This window comes from Homo sapiens, chromosome 11, assembly GCF_000001405.40.
Source record: "Homo sapiens chromosome 11, GRCh38.p14 Primary Assembly".
Classification (NCBI taxonomy): Eukaryota; Metazoa; Chordata; class Mammalia; order Primates; family Hominidae; genus Homo; species Homo sapiens.
Window position 1 is genome coordinate 14,455,514 of NC_000011.10, and position 23,018 is coordinate 14,478,531.

Here is a 23,018-nt window from a genome sequence, read left to right on the forward strand (position 1 = left end):
GTTTAATGTATCTGACAATTGTGTTAACTTCTTTGTTCTCCTTATTTATGAATTTAAGAAAATGGCAATGTGAGGCAATCTGATTCCAACAAAAATGGCCTGAATATGTCAGGCAGGCAACTTTCTAAGAGTATCAACCGAGATATATTCTAGGATGTACACAGGCATAATTCCTTCAGATATGAAATGTGATACTGGTTAACTGTGATTACAACACTAATATCATTAACAGGCTAAGTCACTTTTCCTGTCCCATATATTGTCAATAGGTCATGGAAAAAGGATTCCCTGGTAAAGTAAGGTTAGGATATACTGGGTTAAACCAAACTAATCTGCTTTCCTCTCAGAATCTCTGGTATGCTAATGTACATTGTGAATCTCCAGTGCAGGACAGTTTGAAGCTTTTCCCCAACTTACTTGACTATGGAATTACTTTTTCACTCAGAATATCTAATGACATCTAAGGAAGCTAATGTTCAGTAGAACAGAGTTTGGGAAATGATGATCTAATCCAAAGTTGCACCAGCTCCTTCGCTCTCATTGCAAATCTCTACCCTTGAATCGACATCCCTTCTCTGCACTTCCAGTATATCTTTCCCATTTGATAAGCCCTGGCTTTGTTCTAAGATCTCAGTGTTCTGGAATCTCAAATGCCCTGTAATCTAGGCTTTTTTTTTCTTTTTTTTTTTTTAAAAGCAAGTGGCTTCACAGTTTATGACATCATACAAGGTATCAATCTCCTTATACTCCAAACAAATCATTTCATTCTTAATGAAATAGGAGATGCTTTCAGTCTTTCACAGACCTTATCTAAGGACTCACAGGGAATGCAGCCTGAACCCTAGCTGGTAGACAAATAATAGCCTTAAGTTTAGACTTAGCTAAAAAATCAGACTACCTCAATCACCCCCAATGAAAGTAAAGGCCAAAAGGAAAGCACAATCAGACGCTGGGAAACTTAGCTTGGAAATGCATTTGGAATTATACTGCAGTGTGATGGTACCCAGTCCTAGTGTGAAGTGAGGAAAAGGAGACGAGTGAGTAAGGCACAGAGGCAACAGAGAAAAAGGCAGCTTTTTGAATCCTCTCTAGTTGAATCCTCCCAGTACCAGCTTCAGTAATTGGTTAGAACCAGTTTTATTCCTAACAAACATAGAACACCCTAAACTAAATGTGAGTAAGGCACGGAGGCAACAGAGAAAAAGGCAGCTTTTTGAATCCTCTCTAGTTGAATCCTCCCAGTACCAGCTTCAGTAATTGGTTAGAACCAGTTTTATTCCTAACAAACATAGAACACCCCAAACTAAATGTGAATGATTAAAAAATCTATTTTGGATTATCTACTCTTCATTATGATTCAGGATAATTAAGAACAGTATATCTATTTCAGTTCGGGTACATAATACTTCTTTAAACTGCAGAGCGATCTGTTTTCTCAAGTTATTTTGGGCCGGGTGCGGTGGCTCACGCCTGTAATCCCAACACTCCGGGAGGCTGAGGCGGGCGGATCACGAGGTCAGGAGATCGAGACCATCCTGGCCAACATGGTGAAAGCCCGTCTCTACTAAAAATACAAAAAATTAGCCAGGCGTGGTGGCGGGCACCTGTAGTCCCAGCTACTTGGGAGGCTGAGGCAGGAGAATGGTGTAAACCCGGGAGGTGGAGCTTGCAGTGAGCCAAGATCACGCCACTGCACTCCAGCCTGGGTGACAGAGCCAGACTCCATCTCAAAAAAAAAAAAAAAAGTTATTTTGATACTTTCTCCCTGGAGCTAAATTCAAGAGCAAATCCCTTCAAAACATGATAATGCATTTTTAGAGATAGCAATGTTGGAATATTAAATAAGTAAAAAACAACCAAGTGAATCAAGGCCTACCTTATTTTATATCATTGAATTTGTAAATTCTCTTAATAAAGCTGCATATATTCACAACTCAGTAATTTAAATTTATAATAGAAATTTATAACCCAACTAAAAGAAATCCATTGCCATATAACTAAAATTATGTAATCATTTATTTATAAAATAACAAAAATTTATGAATAGATCTGTTTATTGTACTGTGAAAAGGGTCTTGGTACATGAAACATTATATACTTTGAGGACAGCATTCAGAACTGTTAAGACAAAAGACAAACTATAATTTTAAACTCAATCTTGATTTAAGGGAAAGGCTATAAATTATTGGCTGAAAAGTATTCAGCATGAACTCAGATTCTATATAAGCATGAAAGAGTACAAAAGATGTTGGAGTCCAGTAAGCCCATACCTAAATTAACTGTAAAGCTTCAAGGACTTTTTGTTTATTTTTATATACTAGTTTTCTTCTGTGACAAGTTGATTTTATCTCCAAGACTTAAGGCCATTCCCTGTAAAGAAAAATTAAGATATTTATAATTATTTAAACTATGTACAATCAGTAGGTTATTCCATATTATTAAGCCCCAATTCAATTCAATGACACCATTATCAACAATAAAATCAAGGACATACCAAACAGACTTACCAAACTTTACTGGTAATTACCTTTCAGTGCTAGATTTTTCAAGCCGTCACCAGATTTTTTTTTTTTTTTTTTTTTTTGAGACGAAGTCTCATTCTGTCACCCAGGTTGGAGTGAAATGGCACAATCTCAGCTCACTGCAACCTCCACCTCCCGGGTTCAAGCAATTCTCCTGCCTCAGCCTCCCGAGTAGCTGGGATTACCGGGTGTGCGCTACAACACCCAGCTAATTAGTCACTAGATTTACACCTTGGCTTTCAAAAAATTCTAGAGAACCCATTTCACAAACACCCCATAGGAATCAATCTGGTTTTAGGCAAATATCCCAGAATGAGGGGCCCAAAAGGTGAGAAATTTTAATGAGAAAAGTTATACTTCTATTCAGAGTATATTATTATTGTATGTGTATATGCATCTAATGCTAAAAAGATACTACATATAGAAATAATAAAGTCATAAATTCCTCCCCCCTTTGTCAGTCCAGAGATACTCTCAAAAAAAAAGGAACTGTTACCTGGCTCTTTGCACGAATTCTTATATGGCCGGTAACAGCAGCATCTGGTCCCTGGTGAATTGGCTTCTCAATGCTGACATTTGCAAGTGCATCTTCACCAAATATGGAACGAGCATAAAGGTTGGCTGCCATAAAGCCACAGTAACCAGAAAGGGCCTGGAAAAAATTTGTGATAAATTCATTACTTTACCAGATACCTACATAGAGGCAAAAACCAAACAGCATAGGTGACTTTTTTTTTTTTTTTTTTGAGACAGAGTCTCACTCTGTTGTCCAGCTTGGAGCTGGAGTGCAGTGGCGTGATCTCGGCTCACTGCAACCTTCCTCCCAGGTTCAGGCGATTCTCCTGCCTCAGCCTCCCAAGTAGCTGGGATTACAGGCATTCGCCACCACACCTGGCTAATTTTTGTAATTTTAGTAGAGACAGGGTTTCACCATGTTGGCCAGGCTGGTCTTGAACTCCTGACCTCAAGTGATCCACCCGCCTCGGCCTCCCAAAATGCTGGGACTGCAGGTGTGAGCCACCACGCCCAGCCCCATTGGTTATTTATCACTTAAAACAGTACTTACATACAGGGTGGTGGTTACATAATCTTATGAGTTTGTCAAAACTCAACTATACATGTAAAAAGTGTGAATTTTACTGTGTATTATACCTCAATAAATCTGATGTTAAATAAATAGTTCTTAATCCGATTTGTATTTATATATTCTGTTTACTTAACTTGCTTGACTGCCTCCCATATCAGACCTTAAGCGCCATGAAGGAAGAGACTACTTTTGTTGGACTCAGTATATGCTGAATAAACTAATATATAAATTAAAACCTACTTGTTTGGTAGCAGACATTATTTTATTTATAAAATGAATATTATAACATTATAGAAATTTTACATAAAGAAAAAAGTTCCTTAGAGCTCCAGCTTCATTTTTCTTTCTCTCTCGTTTTTTTCATACATACACAAACATAGCAAAAAGTCACAGTATAACAACGATTCTGTATTTGAGCACATATATTTTAACCAACAATCAGAGCCCACGGAAGAGCTCATGGACATTTTCTAATCCAGTATTACAAATAAACGATTTTATTTATCTTTTTGAGACAGAGTTTCACTCTGTCACCCACGCTGGAATGCAGTGGTGTGATCTCGGCTCACTGCAACCTCCACCCCCTGGGGTTCAGGTGATTCTCCTGCCTCAACCTCCCAAGTAGCTGGGATTACAGGCACGTGCCACCACACCTGGGTAATTTTTGTATTTTTAGTAGAGATGGGGTTTCGCCATATTGGCCAGGCTGGTCTCAAACTCCTGACCTCAAGTGATCTGCCCGCCTCAGCCTCTCAAAGTGCTAGGATCACAGGAATGAACCACCATGTGCAGCATAAACTACTTTAGAATGTGCCTCTAGCTGAATGGGGGAGAAGATTGAAAAGAAAATAAAAAAAAAATTAATCTGACTATTCAGTTGGGTCACTGCACTAGGAAAAAGTAGGATGGTATAGTCCAATAGAAAGAGGTAAGCAGATTCCAACATTCTATGGGATAACATCTTTTAGATAGCCTAGAATGGTACTGCATATTGAATAACAAAAATGTGCTAGAGGAAATACAGGAAGGCCAGGAACCTACTCTACCATTCCATCAGATTTCTGAATTTCCTAGTCAAATTTTACCTTTTCTGGAGTCAGGCATTTCATATTGGTTGACTTTAATATGTGCTGTAAGTAGTCATTTAAATCAACCATGTTGGTGTTAACTGTCACCTGTAGAGAGGAAAAAAAAGTCAAGGAGATCATAAATCTTACTATGAGAAAGCTGTGAATCACCAGTATGTCATATTAAAAACTTGTTCCAACTGTTTAGGTTGGAAAGAGTAGACACCAAGAAACTAAATAACATCTATAAAATCCAACAAGCTGTAGGTTGGTATCAGTACTTCCCAATAGAGATAACTTCACAGAGATTCAATATGAAGCATATAGAATATTTCTTTTTTTTTTTGAGACAGGGTCTCACTCTGTCACCCAGGCTAGAGTGCAGTGCGTCATTTCAGCTCACTGCAGCCTCAACCTCCCATGTTCAAGTGATCCTCCCACCTCAGTCTCCGGAGTAGCTGGGACTACCACACCGGGCTAATTTTTGTATTTTTTGTAGAGATGGAGTTTCACCATTTTGCTCAGGCTGGTCTAGAACTCCTGAGCACGAGCAATCTGCCTGCCTCAGCCTCCCAAAGTGCTGGGATTACAGGCACGAGCTACCGTGCCCAGCCTCATATAGAATATTTCTAATAAAAGTCAAGGCTCAAAGGGACAAAGTTCCTCAACAGACCATGAACTTTGTAAAGCCTTTTTCGGGCACTAGATTAAATGGTAAGCTCTTGGTCATACATAGAAGGGATGGAATATTACCTATAATGTCTAAACCTATCAGATTGGCTATAGAACTGCTACTCTAATCAATTTATAACAGCAAATTACCAAACTACTTACATGATTTTTAGTTAAGGCTAATTTGCAAGAACAGATACTGAAAGACTATTTGCTTTTCATGTTAAACACTTTTTAGCGAGATTAATTTTATTAGCAGACTCCTCAACAGCAGGCAAAAGGAAGAAAGATAAAGGAATATGAGAAAATCTCCCAAGGACTAACTTTGTTTTCCCATTCAAATTCGGCCCACATCTGACGGAATTCTGCATCAGTGCAAGTTGCAGGCTGGATATAGTCCATGATGTCGATGTGAATATCACTGAGAACCACACAATTTCTGTCACTTGCTGCTCCAGAGACATCATAAACTGCAATTACATATACAAAAAGATTCGCAATCACTGGGGCAAACTTGAATTTAAAAAATCTTAATATCCAAATATCCAAAGAACTACACTATTAACAATAAGATTGTTTATATAATACTTATTATGTACAGAGCTCTATTCTACATGCTTTATAAATATTACTGGTTTAATACTCCCATCAATTCTGATAGTATTATTATTTTCCATCTTACATATGAGGAAATGAAAGCAGAGAAGTTAAGTAAGTTGTTCCAGATCACACAACTGATAAGTGGTGGGGATAGGATTCGAACTCAGGCACACTTTGTTTTTTGTGGTTAAACAAATAATTCAATTCAGTGAGTACTTACATAGCAGTTGCAGCATACTAGGCACTGCAGCAGATATACAAGTGGACGATGTTCCCATAGGAGGTACTTAACTAATACTTTTGAATAAATATTGCTGACCCATACTACTTAATGATACAAGATTAGTCATCCCTCAGTATTAATGGGGAATTGCTTCCAGGACCCCCTATGGATACCAAAATCTACAGATGCTCAAGTCCCTGATATTAAATGGCATAGTATTTGCATTACCTATACACATCTTCTCATATATTTTAAATCATCTCTAGCTTACTTACAGTACCTAATACAACATAAATGCTATGTAAATAGTTATACTGTATTGTTTAGGATATAATGACAAGGAAAAAATGTCTATATATGTTCAGTATAGACACAACCATTTTTTTTTTTTTCTAAAATATTTTCAGTTTGTGGCTGGTTGAATCCATGGATGTGGAACCCACGGATACAGAAGGCTGACTATATTTGCTTCTATGACCATTTCTTCCACAGTAGAGAGTTATAATCTGATTGGAGCCTACATTCCTCTTTCTAGGCTCTTTTCTTTTCTTTTTTTTTTTTTTTTTGAGATGGAGTTTCACTCTGTCACCCAGGCTGGAGTGCAGTGGCACAATCTCAGCTCACTGCAACCTCCACCCTTCGGGTTCAAATGATTCTCCTTCCTCAGCCTCCTGAGTAGCTGGGACCACAGGCGCCTGCCACCGCGCCTGGCTAATTTTTTGTATTTTTAGTAGAGATGTGGTTTCACCATCTTGGCCAGGCTGGTCTTGAACTCCTGACCTCATGATCCACCCGCCTTGGCCTCCCAAAGTGCTGGGATTACAGGCATGAGCCACTGTGCCCGGCCTCTAGGCTCTTTTCTTGACATTCTTCCACTCTTTCAACTTTCAGGGAAAACTGAGGCTACCAAGAATAAGCTCCTTTAATTTTCAGCTCCACATCTAAAAACAACTCTCTCTCTTGGAATTCACTCTCACATCCTTCCCTCTCATACGTATCAGAGAAGTACTACCTCATTTCTTCAAGATTAATACTTCCTGCCATCTGTGATTCCTGCTTTGGTCCAGGACCCCACTCCAATCACTATCTCTTTCATCCTTATGTCTTTACTTTCCCATTCTCTACCAACTTTCTTCCCTTATGGTCTATAAATATACTCGAGGTTCTCTTATTTTCAAAAAATAAATCCTCACTCATTCTTGCCTTCTCTTCTTGGTACTGCCCCTTCTTATTCCTATCAAAGCCAAGATCCTACACTCAGAATAGTCTACACTACCTGTATTTCTTCATATCGTATTTAGTCTTCAACCCACCACTAACACCCAAGATGTCCCACAAGAAATGTTTTAAAATCACTAATAGCCAAATCCAAAAGACCTCTCTTTCAGACTTTAATAACTAAAGTTATTTTATCCTGTGGAGCTTCAAATACTTTCTGAAGGTTTTTCCTTACTTTTCTAACCACACTTCAGATACCCTTGTAGGCTCTTTCTCCTTTGACCAAGCTTTCAGTGTTGCTGTTTGCTTGGATTCTGTTTTCAAATCTCCCCTCTTTTTAGTCTGTATGCCCTCTCTGGGTGATTTCTTCTATTCCTATGGCTTTTAAACAAATACTTATCTCTAGTTTATTTTTACTTATTTATTTATTTTTGAGACAGAGTCTCACTCTGTTGTCTAGGCTGGAGCGCAGTGGTGCGATCTCGGCTCACTGTAACCTCTGTCTCATGGGTTCAAGCTATTCTCCTGCCTCAGCCTCCCGAGTTAGCTGGGACTACAGGCGTGCGCCATTACGCCCAATTAATTTTGTATTTTTAGTAGAGACAGGATTTCGCTATGTTGGCCAGGCTGGTCTTGAGAACTCCTGATCTCAGGTAATCTGCCCGCCTCGGTCTCCCAAAGTGCTGGAATTACAGGTATGAGCCACCACACCCGGCCTATCTCTAGTTTAGACCTCTTGTTTGTGTCCCAGACTCACATCAAACTGTCCTTGAATATCTTTAGGCACTTTAATACCGAACCTGCTCAAGATTTAACCTATTATGTCTCTCTAAAGTTTGTTCTTCTCTCCTGTATTTCCTGTTATGATGATGACATAAACAACCCAATAAACCTAATCTGGAAATCTGAGTGTTACTCTAGCCACTTCCTCTTCAATCATTAACCATATCCTTAATATTATATTCATCCTTCTCTCCATTCCACTACTGTGTTGGCTCAAGTCCTCTGCCATCTCTCACTTGGGCTTCTCTACTAGTTAATCTTCCTGCCTCTTCCAATCAACCTTCTATAGTACTGTCGCAAAAAGATATAATGCTATAAGTCATTCATTTGTAATTCCTCAATGTTTCCTCTCTCCACAGATAAAGTCTAACATCCTTAGCATGACAAGTAAAATATGGCTTCCACAAACCTTCCTAACTTCATTTTTTTCCTGCCATCATCCTCCAACCCATTCTGAACTCCAAGTGTATCAAATCATTTGCATTTATTCTAACTGCATCCTTGTCTATCTGTAGTCTTCTACTGAGCACTTGCTCCTCCATGAAGCCTTTTCTAAGCTTTTCTCCCAATCCCCCACCACTCTGAGAACTGACCAAATCCCTTTATGGATTCCTACCTTACTTAGTACAGGTTTACTTATTTTTTTCTTTCACAGTACTTACCATTACATACTGCACATATTTATTTTATATATCTGTTTTCCCTTACTCAACCATAATCTATCATTTGTTCCTCACCATGGTAGCCCTATCCTTATGACAGAAATTGCAACAAAATAAGCTTACTGACTGAATGACTCTATACAAGCTAATCCCTAGGTCTGAGATACCCTTGTGCACCTAGCAACAAATGACTCAGGTAAAATATTATCCTTTGATAACACACCATCTTCCTTTATAAAGCCTTCCACACTGTTAGCATTTTTTTTTTCCCTAACCTCAAAGCATATGGTATATAAACCAACCTGTAACACACTGGACTACAATTATATATTGCCTTAGCTAGCTCCTCCTTTTGCCTGACAGTTTCTAGAGGACAGTGACTCTATCTGGTTCATTTCTGTACATCCAGAACATAGTTCAATGCGTGGTACCATAGAGAGTATCTCATAAATTATGAATAAATGGATTTAGATCCTCTCCTCATACAATGTCCCCAGCTACTCACTATAGAAATTCTTCAGTAAAAGTATTCAAACATTACATGCCATAAAACAGCACCTTACCTATATTACCAAAAATTATTCCATTTTCTGTTGATGCTACTTTGACGTTAGCTTTAATATTTGCGAAGTCATGAGGAGCAAGAGTCAAAGGAGACGGCTTTTCCACAAGTTTCAGATCCCCTGAAAGAAAGAGTTTGGATATGGTTAAAAATACACACACACACACACACACACACACACACACACACACACACACACACTAACCATAAAACCTTAAATGTATGCAGCTTAATAGTTTCTAGGAAAATAAGGAATATGACGAATATGAGAAGAGTATGAATCAAATATAATGAGGACAAAATAAAGAAACCACTTAACCATCCTTATTATTCACCATCAATAGGCATATTTTCTTTTAAAAGGTAATAGGCATCTCAGAATAATTCCATATTTAATTTGTGGGAAGGGAGGATACTTTGAGCCTACCATTTATTTATTTTGAGATAGGGTCTTGCTTTGTTACCTAGGCTGGAGTGCAACTGCATGATCATAGCTCACTACAGCCCTGATCTTCCAGGCTCAAGCGATCCTCCTACCTCAGCCTCCTGAGTCGCTGGGACTACAGGAGTGGCCCACCACACCTGGCTAATTTTCTTGATTTTTTGTAGAGATTGGGGTCATTTTATTTCAATGAATGAATGCAAACTTCTCAAAAAGCTTAAGTCTTAAACTATATACTTCATTATGAAGAAAGATAAAACAATCTGCATAAAGACTTGTAAATGCTTAAGAAACATGGTTTTTTATACAGCCATCAAGCTATGCTGAGGACAACAGGGCAAAAGTATGTTTTCCCCTTGATATCTTGAAGTTCCTTAACACTTGCATAAGCCATATGAAATCTGATGGGGGTACTGCACTGTTCCCATATACAATTTATATTTTCCAACTTCAAAACCAGATGTGGAAGTAAGCAGTCTGACCCATGTGTCTTTACTAAGAAAAAAAAATGCATCTCATATTGCTAAATGTAATATGATTTATTACTTTGGTCACATGTGGTATCTAACAGTTATGCATTCAGAAAATACTTAGTTCTGTAATGAGGCAATTAGAAATTAACTAAGTGAGCTACCTGGTCAATCTGCGACTTAAACAGCTCGTATTATAACTAGAAATACTGACATTTGCTAGATTAAGCTTATTAAATGAATCCACCTGAATGTGCCAAGAGCATAAAAATTCAGTATGACAGAGGTTCAGAAAACTGGAGTTTAAGGAAACTAAATGATAAATGAAAAACTAAGCCTTGATTCAAAATGTCAGAAAAGGTTCAAGAGAATTTTTATACTGAAACCTGTGCACCTCCCTTAATCTGTCATAAAGATCTACTATGTGACAATCTCTTTCCTGAATGGTAAGTTTCCTCACCTAGTGTAGCTAGTTCTAATGTGCAATTCTGCAAAGTATCACTGGTTTGGTTCACAACAAGTACATCCAGGACAATATCATATTGGTTGACATGAACGTAAGCTTCTGCATATACAGGATCTGAGAAACCTGTCAATTGGGTGACCTGTCAAAACAAAAACAAAGACATAATCAAATGACAGATGCAATTTCACCAAACATACCCTGGCCAAATGATTAAGTCTGGTAGGTTATTAACAGAGTTGCTTAGAAGTCATTTTGAGATAGGTAAAATAAAATTGTTTTATAATGCAGAAATGGAAATTGAAACCAGAATATTAAGAAATAACAGGTCCTAGAGTTTAAGACATCTATTTGTTTTTAAGCTCAATAACTCAGTATAAGGTATTATACATGTTGATTTTTGAGCTTATAAGTTCAGTAGTAGAAAAATGTTAAATATATTTAGCAAATACATTAAACATTATCCCAATTTTGCCAACTAAATAAATTTGGATACACTTTCATTTAAATCCCTCAGTAAGTATCTAAACTCACTACTTGATCTATGAAACTCAGGATCCAAATAAAATCCAAATCATGTGGTAGCCCTTGCTCCACAAACTGAGGCACTAAACAGATTATATAGTAAGAAATGATTGTAATGCCACAAAAATAAAATTACAAATGCCCTCCCACTCCAAATTTAAACACACTGAAAGCACTGTACTTTAAAAAGCTAATATTGTCACCAAAAGCATAGGCAATAAAAGAAAAAATAGATTAAACATCAAAATTAAACACTTTTATGCATCAAATATTATCAACAGAATGAAAAGGCAACTCACAGAATGGAAGAAAATATTTGCAAATCATGTATCTGATAAGGGGGTTAGTATCCAGAATATTAATAACTCCTAAAATTCAAACAAAAAAAACCAACAACCCAATTTAAAAATAGGCACAGGACTTGAACAAACATTTCTCCAAAGAAAATATACAAATGGCCAATAAGCACGTGAAAAGACACTCATCATCACTAATCATTAGGAAAATGCAAATCAAAACCACAATGAGATACCACTTCACATACCCATTAAGATGGCTATCATCAAAAAAAAACAAAACAAGTGTTGGCAAGGATATGGAGAAATTGGAACTCTTGTGCACTGCTGGTAAGAATGTAAAATAGTGTAGCTACCATGAAAAACACAATGGAGGTTCCTCAAAAAATTAAAAGTACAATTATCATATGATCCAGCAATTCTGCTTCTAGATATATACCCAAAAGAACTAAAAGCAGGGACTTGAACAGATATTTGTACATCTGTGTTAACAGCAGCATTCTTCACAGTAACCAAAAGGCAGAAGCAATGCACATATCCAGGGATGGATATATGGATAAACAAAATGTGGCATATACTTACAATGTAATATTATTCAGCCTTAATAAGGCAGGAAATTCTGATACATGCTATGACATGAATGAATCTTGAAGACATTATACTGAGTGAAATATGCCAGTCACAAAAGGAAAAATACTGTATTGTTCCACTTCTGTGAGGTACTTAAAATAGTCAAAATCACAGAGACACAAAGTAGAATGGTGGCTAGGGGTAAGTAGAGGTTGAGGGGAAGTAGGAATGACGAGTTATTGTTTAATGGACATAGTTTCAGCTTTGCAAGATGAAAACAGTCCTGGAGATGGCTGCATAACAATATGAATTTAATTAATGCCACAGAACTGTACACTTACAAATGGGTTAAAATGGCAAATCTTTTGCAACTTTAACTATAATTCAAAAAAACTAAAAAAATTTTATAAATGTAATATTATTGATATCAATTCCCAATTTTAAGGGAGGGAAATTGTTTTAGTAATTCCAATTCTGCTACTGACCTTATCTTAAACAAAAGTAATGTAAGACTGTTCATTCAGTCTAATAGATGAGGGATCACTGATTCTTAAATTTATATATTTAAGAGAGTAGAATCATTTTCCTAATAAAATTCTATATGGAACTCGATATATTAAGAATATAAAAGTAGAACTGCTCTGTTTAAAGTAGCAGAGAATAAGAGAAGGTGAGGTCAAGGTGTGGGAAGAGGCCAGGGCTGTTGCCTGTTCAGCTTCCCTTTAAAAACCTCAGCTAACCTTTAAGGATCCCCTTCCCTCAACTTCTATTTATTGGTCTATGATTCCAGACACAACTGGATCGAGTTAAACCATCTGATGGACTTACAGTACTATCACATATAGTAGTAAGGTACTTCATCAGCTTCTGAGTTTCAACTGAGGTTTAATGGACCTATCACAGTGACTTGACAAAATAGTTATCTTTCTTTTAAAAATAGCAGCACTAACAACTTCCTTAAGGAGTCGATTTAAATAATTTAGAGTCTATCAGACATTTTGTTACCTTGTTAAGTTTAGATGCTAGGGGATCTGCTGCCTCTTTCCTCTGTGTGTTACCCATTGCTGCCAGTAAACTCAGCTGAAACTGATCTTCCTTGCAGTTCATTTCATTCTTAGCAGTTAGTTGCATGAAGGAAATGGGGTCATCAGGCTGTACTGTCACATTCCTCTTTTCAGATTCTTTCTGTGTTGAGAATATAACAAAGTCTCTCTTTAATATGAAAAGATAGTTTTTTAGAGGCTTTTGACAGAGACAGCCCTCACATATGAAAACTGAAAAATCAACAAAACAACAAGAAAACCCACAAAGCACTTTTCTTTTCTTTTTTTTCTTCCTGAGACAGGCTGTTACTCTGTTGCCCAGGCGGAGTGCAGTGGTATGATCACAGCTCACTGCAGCCTCGAACTCTTAGATTCAAACGATCCTTCATCCTCAGCCTTCCAAGTAGCTGGAATGACAGGCACATACCACCATGCCTGGCTAATTTTCTCATTTTTTTTGTTGAGACAGGGGCTTGCTATGTAGCCCACACTGGTCTCAAACACCTGGCCCCAAGGAGTCCTCCTGCCTCAGCCTCCCAAAGTGCTGGGATTACAGGCGTGAGCCACTGCACGAAGAGACACAAAACACTTTTGTTGCCTCATCATATATACCTTACCTTTTGGGATAATTTCTCTTCTTCTAGTTTAGCAGATAACATGTGAGAAAGGGACTGTCTGCATTCCTTATTGAAAATGTCATTCATTAAAGGTGAACATTCAGACAAGACCTTGAGGCACAGGGAAATTCGATCCACATCATCATCAGTAATTGGCTTCTTAGGAAGAGAGGATTTTCCCAAATGCAGGATAGTAGCCATGAGCAACATAGCCTCAGCAACAAAAGACTAAGAAAGTAAAGAAATCGGTTACTGATATTGTCTTGATTCTCAGATTGCAATCATGTCACTTCATTATAACTCACAATCTAAATTTTCACTTCACCTGAATAAGATTTCAAATTCTTTGGATTTTATGTCCATATCTGTTTTTGCATTCTTCTCCTTCCTTTCTACTCTTAACTGCCACTCTCTAAGACCTGCATTAATCCTCAATTAGAGACAGCAGAGGCTTTTTAACTGTTTTCCCTTGCTCCAGTCCTTCTCTGTAACCACTTCATATGCTGATGCTGTCCTTTTTAATCCCAACTACAGAAAAGTTAAAAGAATGATATACTTTACCAATTGTTAACATTTTGCCACATTTGCTTACCTATTCTGTATATGTACACTTATTTTTTTTGGCTGACATGTGAAAAAGTCTTCACCTCATAAATGCTTCAGCATTCATCTCCTAAGAGTCAGAACAGTTTCCTACAAACCACAATTTCATTTTCTCATCTGAAAAATTCAACAATTCCAAAATACAGCTTCTATACTCTGAATTCAAATAAATCTCCCTAAATTGTCTTAAAATGTTTTTGTTTTATTTTTTAAATCCAGGATCAGCTTCATGCATTTTATCCCTCTTAATCTAGACCAGTTCTCTGCCGTTTTGTTTTTAATCGCACTAACTTTTTTAAAGAACTGAGGCCAGTTGTTTTATAGAATATCCCACACTTTTGATTAGAATACCAGATAGGTGATGTTTTGTATTTCACCCTGTACTGCATCACAAGGTACCTAAAGTTAGGCTGTCCAATTATTGTGCTGCTAAGCGTGATCACCTGATGCTGCTATCTTAATCTTTATACTGCACCAATCATTTCATTCCCTATGTAAATACCTTTAATGAATGTCAGCCTTCATACTGAAGTCCGTATTACTTAGCTCGCTATTCAAAGTCTTCCACAAGTGATTGCAACTTACTTTTTTAGTCTCATGTAGCATTATCCTGACACATATGCTCTAAGCCCTTGCCAAATTGCCTTTGGCTGAGTACTGATCTGCACACATGCATGAAAAACTACTGGAGGCCTGGGAAAAACCAGCAGAAGAGTAAGTATATGTCCCCCAAGTTTGGATACTGTCTCCAAAAGGAGAGGAAAGAGAGGAGGGGACAGAAAAAAAAATCCGAGGAAATGACTGAAAATTTCCCAAACTGATGGAGATATAAACCTGCAAACCCAACAAGCTCAATGAACCACAAGTACAGCAAACATGAAGAAAACCACACTAAGGCATATCCTAATCAAATTACTGAAACCAAGTGAAAAGGAGAAAATCTAAAACCAGTGGAAGAAATACACACACACACACACACACACACACACACACACACACACACACACTCTCTCTCTCTCTACACCCAGGGAGATAAGAATGACAGTAGACTTCTCACCAAAAAGCCAGAAGACAATGGAGCTTTACTTTTACACTACTGGGAAAAAAAAACAGAAGACTTAGAATCCTATACCCACAAAGGTAACTTTCTAAAGTGTACAAAAAAATAGGCTTTTTCCAGACAAAAACTGGAACAATCTGTTGCCAACAAATCTGCACTATAAGAAAAGTTAAAGCAAATTCTTTAGGCAAAAGATGTATGATACCAGAAACTTAGTCCTACACAAAGAAATGAAGAGTGTTGGAAATGGCATAAATGAAGGAGTGCCAGTGAGATTATAAGCAACCAAACTTCCTTCTTGTACCAAACAGTGCAAACATTATTAACTCGGTATGTTACAAGAAACTGGCTCTTTTAAGCAGGTATCAGTAAACACTCCCAACTTCCAGAAGTGATGCAACCAGGAGAGGAAAGCAAATTCAACTCTGAGATAAAAAAATGTTGGAGACTTTTAAAAAACATACTTTAAAGATTATACTGTGACCAGACCTGAATAAATAAATGCCCACAAAAGAGTTACAAAATAAATTATTGCTCAAAAATCAAATCAATTAAGGGATAATATACCTTGTAAATTATCTGGCTCTCATTTATGGCTTTTCTTATAATGGAATTAAAACAAAAACAAAAAGAACCTGGCCAGGCACGGTGGCTCATGCCTGTAATCCCAGCACTTTGGGAGGCCGAGGTGGGCGGATCACCTGAGGTCAGCAGTTCGAGACCAGCCTGGTCAACATGGTGAAACCCCAGTCTCTACTAAAAATACAAAAAAAATTAGACAGGCGTGGTGGCAGGCGCCTGTAGCCCCAGCTACTCGGGAGGCTGAGCCAGGAGAATTGCTTAAACCCAGGAGGCGGAGGTTGCAGTGAGCTGAGATCATGCCATGGCACTCCGGCCTGGGCAAGAAGAGTGAGACTCCGTCTAAAAAAAAATTTTTTTTTAGATCAAGCTGTTAGTCTCCAAAAACGAAGGAAATATGAGTGATGTGAGTGAAAGTGTTTCAATTTAGAAACCTGCTGTATAGATAACCAACATAATACGAAAGCTGAAGGAATCAAAAGGAGTCCCATTGCTACAGGCCCAATTTGAATGTCAGAAATTGCTGTGGTAGGACATTGTAACCAACTCTGCGCTACTACCACAAATGTTCTATGGATTCTGTTTCTTAAATAATAAGAGTTGAAACTACTTGATCAGTGGCAGCATAATGGATGTTGTCTTAGCAGGCATGAAAACATTCATTTCTTTCTACATCTCCATCAGAGCTCTTGGGTGACCAGCTAAATTGTCAATGAACAGTAATATTTTAAAAGGAGTCTTTTATTTCTGAGCAGTAGGTCTCAATGGTGAGCTTAAAATACTTAGTAAGCCATCCCGTAAAGAGGATGTGCTGACATCCAGGCTTTGTTGTTCCACTGACAGAGCACAGACAGAGTTGATTAAGCACAATTCTTAAGAGCCCTAGGATTTTCAAAATGGGAAATGAGCAATGGCTTCAACTTAAGTTACTGGTTGTATTAGCCCTTACCAAAAGAGTCAGCCTATCCTTTGAAGCTTTGAAGCCAGGCACCGACTTCTCTCTAGCTACCAAAGTCCTAGATGGCATCTTCTTCCAATATAAGGTTGTTTAGTCTACACTGAAAATCTGTTGTTTAGTGTGGTCACCTTCACCAATGATCTTGGCTAGATCTTCCAGATAACTTGCCACAGCTTCTCCATTAGGACTTGCTACTTCATGTCAAACTTTTACATTATGAAGACGGGCTTATTTCCTTAAACCTCATGAATCAACCTCTGCTAGCTTCAAACTCTTCTTCTGAAGCTTCCTAACCTCTCTCAGCCTTCATGGAATTGAAGAGAGTTAAGGTCTTAGTCTGGATTAGGCTTTTGGCTTAAGGGAATCTTGTGGCTGGTTTTATCTTCTATCCAGACCACTCAAACTTTCTATCAGCAATAAAGCTATTTCGCTTTCTTTCTTCTTCTTTTTTTTCCTCGAGACGGAGTCTTGTTCTGTCTCCCAGGCTGGAGTGCAGTGGTGTGATGTCAGCTCACTGCAACCTCTGCCTCCCATGTTCAAACAATTCTCCTGCCTCAGCCTCCCAAGTAGCTGGGAGTACAGGCGCCTGCCACCACACCTGGCTAATTTTTGTATTTTTAGTAGAGACAGGGTTTCACCATGTTGGCCAGGCTGGTCTCGAACTCCTGACCTCGTGATCCGCCTGTCTCGGGCCTCCCAAAGTGCTGGTGTGAGTCACCACGCCTGCCAAATGTTTCACTTTCTTATCATTCATGTGTTTACTGGAGTAGCACTTTTAATTTCCTTTAAGAGCATTTCCTTTGCATGCATAACTTGGCTACCTACTTGGCAAAAGCAGCCTAGCTTTTGGCTTAGCTCAGCTTTTGACATGCATTCCTTACTAAGTTTAATTATTTCTCACTTTTGATTTAAAGTGAAAGACATGTGACTCTTCCCTTCACTTAGAAGCCACTGTAGGATTATTAACCGGCCTAATTTCAATATTGTGGTATCTCAGGGAATAGAATAGGGAGGCCCAAGGAGGAAAGAGACGGGGTAACAGCCGGAACACACACAACAATTATTGATTACGTTTACTATTTTATATGGGAATGGTTCCTGGCATCCCAAAACAACTATGATAGTAACATTAAAGATCACTGATAACAGATCACCATAACAGATGTAATAATAATGAAAAAGTTTGAAATATTGTGAGAATTACCAAAATGTAACACAGAGATATGAAGTGAGCATATGCTTATTTGGAAAAATGATGCTAACAGACTTGCTCAACTCAGGGTTCCCACAAACCTTCATTTGTTTAAAAAAAAAAAAAAAAGCAATATGTGCAAAGTACAATAAAATGAAGTATGCCTGTAAATGCTATGTAAATAATTGTTACACTGCATTGTTTTCAACTTTCTATTATTTTTTACTGTTTATCATTTTTTAAAAAAGATATTTTCAATCCATAGTTGGTTGAATCTGCAGGTGCAGAAGCTGTGAATATGGAGGACCAACTGCATACCATTGTAAATGGGTGTTTGGTTAGAACGGTCAGAAGCTACAAAGCAGGCATGAACTACAGATGAGAATAACTTAAGAGACATTCTGGGATAAAACAGACAATGACCGAATGGATGCAGATGCTGGAGAGAAGGACATTTCCTTCACTGGTCCTGAACTAATCCCAGCAAACTGAGGTGACTTCATAAATCCTTTCTCTTCCACTGGAATAATCACATGACATTGTTATTGTATTACTTTGTCAATTTTCATTTTTTTAAAGCCCAAACAGAAGAGGAAGATACTTTATCAATTTTAGAGTAATATATTACTGTGTCCACTTCTGCTATTAAATCATAAACTCTTTCATGACAGAAACTTAGCATTAATTTTTGAGTCCCTCACTGTTCAATGCATATAGTAGGCACTCAATGTTTAATTGTTGGTTAAATGTAAAATAAATGAACTTACATTTTGCTTTTTCTTCTCCTGAACCAAAGCTACATAGCGCAATGCAATCTTGGTCAGAGTTGTGGCAAGGGAGGCAGCAACAAAGAAATCTCCATCCAGAAGGAATCCTCTCAAGGGAGGTCTGCAAAGCAACCAAGGAAAATCAAACCCACCAACTTGCTAAGCAGCATGCAGCTTCTGTATAAATGAATGATATAGGCCTATTAAACACTCTTATTACCATCCTTCAGTGATAAGGATACCTTAGCTAACTAACTCCTTAGCTCCCAGAAGAAAGAAGGAAAAAGAAAAATAATACATGACTTTAAAACTTATCTTTGGCCAGGTGCAGTGGCTCACACCTGTAATCCCAGCACTTTGGGAGGCCAAGGCGGGCGGATTACCTGAGGTCAGGAGTTCGAGGACAGCCTGGCCAACATGGTGAAACCCCGTCTCTACTAAAAATACAAAAATTAGCTGGGCATGGTGGCACAAACCTGTAATCCCAGCTACTCAGGAGATTGAGGCAGGAGAACTGCTTGAGCCCAGGAGACAGGTTGCAGTGAGCCATGATCGCGCCACTGCACTCTAGCGTGGCCGACAGAGCAAGACTCTGTGTCAAAAAAAAAAAAAAAAAAAAAAAAAAGAAAACTTATCTTTGAATGACACAAAAGCCATCAGAATATGGAAAGATACAATATTTAATTAGGGGCATACGTAATTGCAGCTAATGAAGTACCTCCGAATTCCAGCTTACCTGTTTATTTACTGGGTAAGCCTCAAATTCTTCTTCCATAAAATGGAGATAATATATTCTATCTCAAAGGCTTATTGTCAAGACTATATGAGACAAACTACTTAGCACAATGCCTAGCACTTAGTGGGTATTCAGTAAAATTTTAGGCAAAGATTTCACCATCTTCACCATTAAAATTTACTTAATAGAAAAATGCACAATTTTATTCCATCATTTAGAAATTGAAAAATCTTCAAAATGTTTTCAGATGCTAATAAACAACAAAACTCAAATATCTTCAGTTACCCCCACTTAGCATTTTCTGAGTAAAAATAATTTGAGTTTAAACAGAACAGTTATTTCCATAAAAACACTGGAAGGGACAGAGAATTAAAACCATCAATACAATTCCTAGGGGGAAGAACTTAAACATCCTCCGCTTCTCAAGTACCTTAAATGGCAAAGATTTTCATTTTGGTTGCAAAAGCAAGAGGAAAGAAATCATTTGACTGTCTTACATACAAGAGTAATAATAAAAGTAGTACAGCTGGCAGGGTATATGTGCCATAAATTACCTGTCTTCCTCTTTCTTGGTGGGTCTAGAACTGCTAAGGGCACTCTGAGTTGCATAGGTACCCATTTCAGTAACCAATTTCTGAACTGGCCCTACAGTTATTTCTTCTTCAGGTTTTAATTCACCAGCTTCTTTCTTTATTTCTGACTCTACAATTGGGATCTAAAAGTCAATTGGAAACATCATTTTAGTAATAGTATCAACAGCAAGCAAAATTATCTTTAAATATTTGATTGTTTCTCTAAAAAAGGCATTACCCTAATGGGATTTTTGGAACTGGGAACTCTGCTTTCAATTTATTTCCTTCCCAGGATAATGTAGTAGGTAGAATAGGGGCTTCAGAGATGGATATTCCAGGGTTTGAATTCTCACTCTGCCACTTACTACTTTGGACCTCAGTTTCTTAATCTGCTAAGTGGAAATCTTAATTCTTTCTACACATTTTACCTAATAGAAAAATGCATTGGACAGTGTCTAACACAAAGCAGATGGTCATTAAGTCGTATTCCTCTTCTTCATTCCTTTCCTTGAAATTTTAACCAAAACAGTACTCATCCTTCTAAAATGAAATAAATCCGACTTATTTGTACATAATAACCTCATCAACTAACTTTTAAATTAACTGAATGGCTATTATGTATTTATTACTCAATACCAGTCCATTACCTAATATAAGAGCACTAAGAGTATTTAATCATTACCTATTTTAATTTATTTTATAGGTGAAAAACACTGATGTCAAGTTAGGTTGAGGAACTTATATTCAAGGTCCTCCAGCTAACTGTCGACACAACAATGACTAGAACTAATTGTCAGGTCTCCTGATAATTAGTCCACTGTTCTTTCTATTCTACCATAAGGTTGTTAGGATGAAGAATACTGTCAGTTTTACTGCATAAATATTCTGAAGTCAGACTTACTCTAAGGCATTCTTCCTTCAGAATACAGGCTAAAGCAGAATTTTACAAGCTACTGCTTCTTTTTTTTTTTTTTTTTTTTAATAAACACAGAACATTTTGTTCAAACAAAATCTAACTCAGAAGTGTAAATAATGTAAGCAAATCACTATAAAAAGTCAGATTTTCCTAAAGGAAAAATTACCATATAAACTAACATTTACTAAAGTAAAACATACCTCTCCAAGGGACCTGCGGATCTCAGTCATCACACTCTGAATGTCTTCCTTGGTACTACAGTATTCTCCCAGGATCCATAATGCTCCTCGGTAAATCCTAGCACAATACAAGATCTGAAACATGAACTTGGCAGACAAATCTTGAAGCAGAGATCTTTCTTTGTTAATTTAAGCTCAAATAAAAACAAGGGCCAGGCACTCACGCCTGTAATCCCAGCACTTTGGGAGGCCGAGGCGGGCGGATCACGAGGTCAGGAGATCGAGACCATCCTGGCTAACATGGTGAAATCACGTCTCTACTAAAAATACAAAAAAATTAGCCGGGCATGGTGGCGGGCGCCTGTAGTCCCAGCTACCCGGGAGGCTGAGGCAGGAGAATGGCGGGAACCCATTCTCGGGAAGCGGAGCTTGCAGTGAGCCAAGATCGCGCCACTGCACTCCAGGCTGGGTGACAGAGCGAGACTCCGTCTCAAAAAAAAAAAAAAAACAAGGGCCAGGCACGGTGGCTCACGCCTGTAATCCTAGCACATTCGGAGGCTGAGGCCAGCGGATCACTTGAGCCCAGGAGCTCAAAACCAGCCTGGGCAACATGGTGAAACCCCATCTCTACTAAAAATACAAAAATCAGCCAGGCATGGTGATGCACATCTGTAATCCCAGCTATTGAGGAAACTGAGGCATAAGAGCTCCTTGAGGCCGGGCACAGTGGCTCACGCCTGTAATCCCAGCACTTTGAGAGGCTGAGGCGGGCGGATCACCTGAGGTTGGGAGTTCAAGACCAGCCTCACAAACATGGTGAAACCTCGTCTCTACTGAAAATACAAAAAAAATTTGCTGGATGCAGTGGCACGCACCTGTAGTCCAGATACTTGGGAGGCTGAGGCTGGAGAATCGCTTGAACATGAGAGGCGGCGGTTGCAGTGAGCCGAGATCGCGCCACTGCACTCTAGCCTGTGAGACAGAGCAAGACTCCATCTCAAAAAAAAAAAAAAAAAAAGAACTGCCTGAATCCAGGAGGCGGAGGTTGCAATGCCCTGAGATAGCGCCACTGCACTCCAGCCTGGGTGACAGAGCAAGCTTCTGTCTCAATAACAAAAAAACAAAAAACAAAAACCAACAAGATTCTGCAGTTCTAAAGTATTTTAGATAAATATTTCAGAAAGAATCTAACAAAACCTAGGTTTCAGTTCTCTCCAGAAATCACAAAGATTAAAAGTAAAATAACTGTTCTTATTATTAGGAACATTCTAAAACTGGTAAACCTAGCAGTAAAAATAAAATACCAAAATGTTTCCCAGTAAAGTGTCCATTTAGGACACAGTGAAGGCAAATTTGGCTTAATCTCTTACTACTCTAAGAAATGTATTATTTTATGGCCAGACACTGTGGCTCACACCTGTAATCTCAGCATCTGGGGAGGATGAGGTGGGAGGATTGCTTTAGTCCAGGAGTTCGAGACCAGCCTGGGCAACAAAGCAAGGCCCTCATCTCTCTTAAAAAAATAAATAAATAAAGTAAAAACAAAACAAAAACAAAAACAAAAAATCAGGAATGTATTATTTTAATGTAAAAAGTAATTCACTTTTTATTTTCAGTCACTGAAGAGGCAAGGT

General features: G+C 38.1%; 1 protein-coding gene across 3 annotated transcripts in view; it reads right to left on the reverse strand.

The window, feature by feature from the left end:
- Window positions 1–1,998: 1,998 nt before the first annotated feature.
- The window catches only part of COPB1 (coat protein complex I subunit beta 1), a 42,300-nt gene continuing 21,280 nt past the window's right edge, over window positions 1,999–23,018 (reverse strand). For all 3 annotated transcript variants that reach the window (NM_001144062.2, NM_001144061.2, NM_016451.5), the window contains exons 12-22: window positions 21,406–21,502; window positions 20,272–20,432; window positions 18,982–19,102; window positions 13,823–14,050; window positions 13,168–13,347; window positions 10,769–10,913; window positions 9,398–9,517; window positions 5,673–5,818; window positions 4,695–4,784; window positions 3,019–3,174; window positions 1,999–2,370 (exon numbers count right to left, since the gene is read on the reverse strand). In NM_001144062.2, the coding sequence (NP_001137534.1) occupies window positions 2,311–2,370; window positions 3,019–3,174; window positions 4,695–4,784; window positions 5,673–5,818; window positions 9,398–9,517; window positions 10,769–10,913; window positions 13,168–13,347; window positions 13,823–14,050; window positions 18,982–19,102; window positions 20,272–20,432; window positions 21,406–21,502 (1,504 nt within the window). In that variant the 3' untranslated portion in view covers window positions 1,999–2,310. The remainder of the gene's footprint in view (window positions 2,371–3,018; window positions 3,175–4,694; window positions 4,785–5,672; window positions 5,819–9,397; window positions 9,518–10,768; window positions 10,914–13,167; window positions 13,348–13,822; window positions 14,051–18,981; window positions 19,103–20,271; window positions 20,433–21,405; window positions 21,503–23,018) is intronic.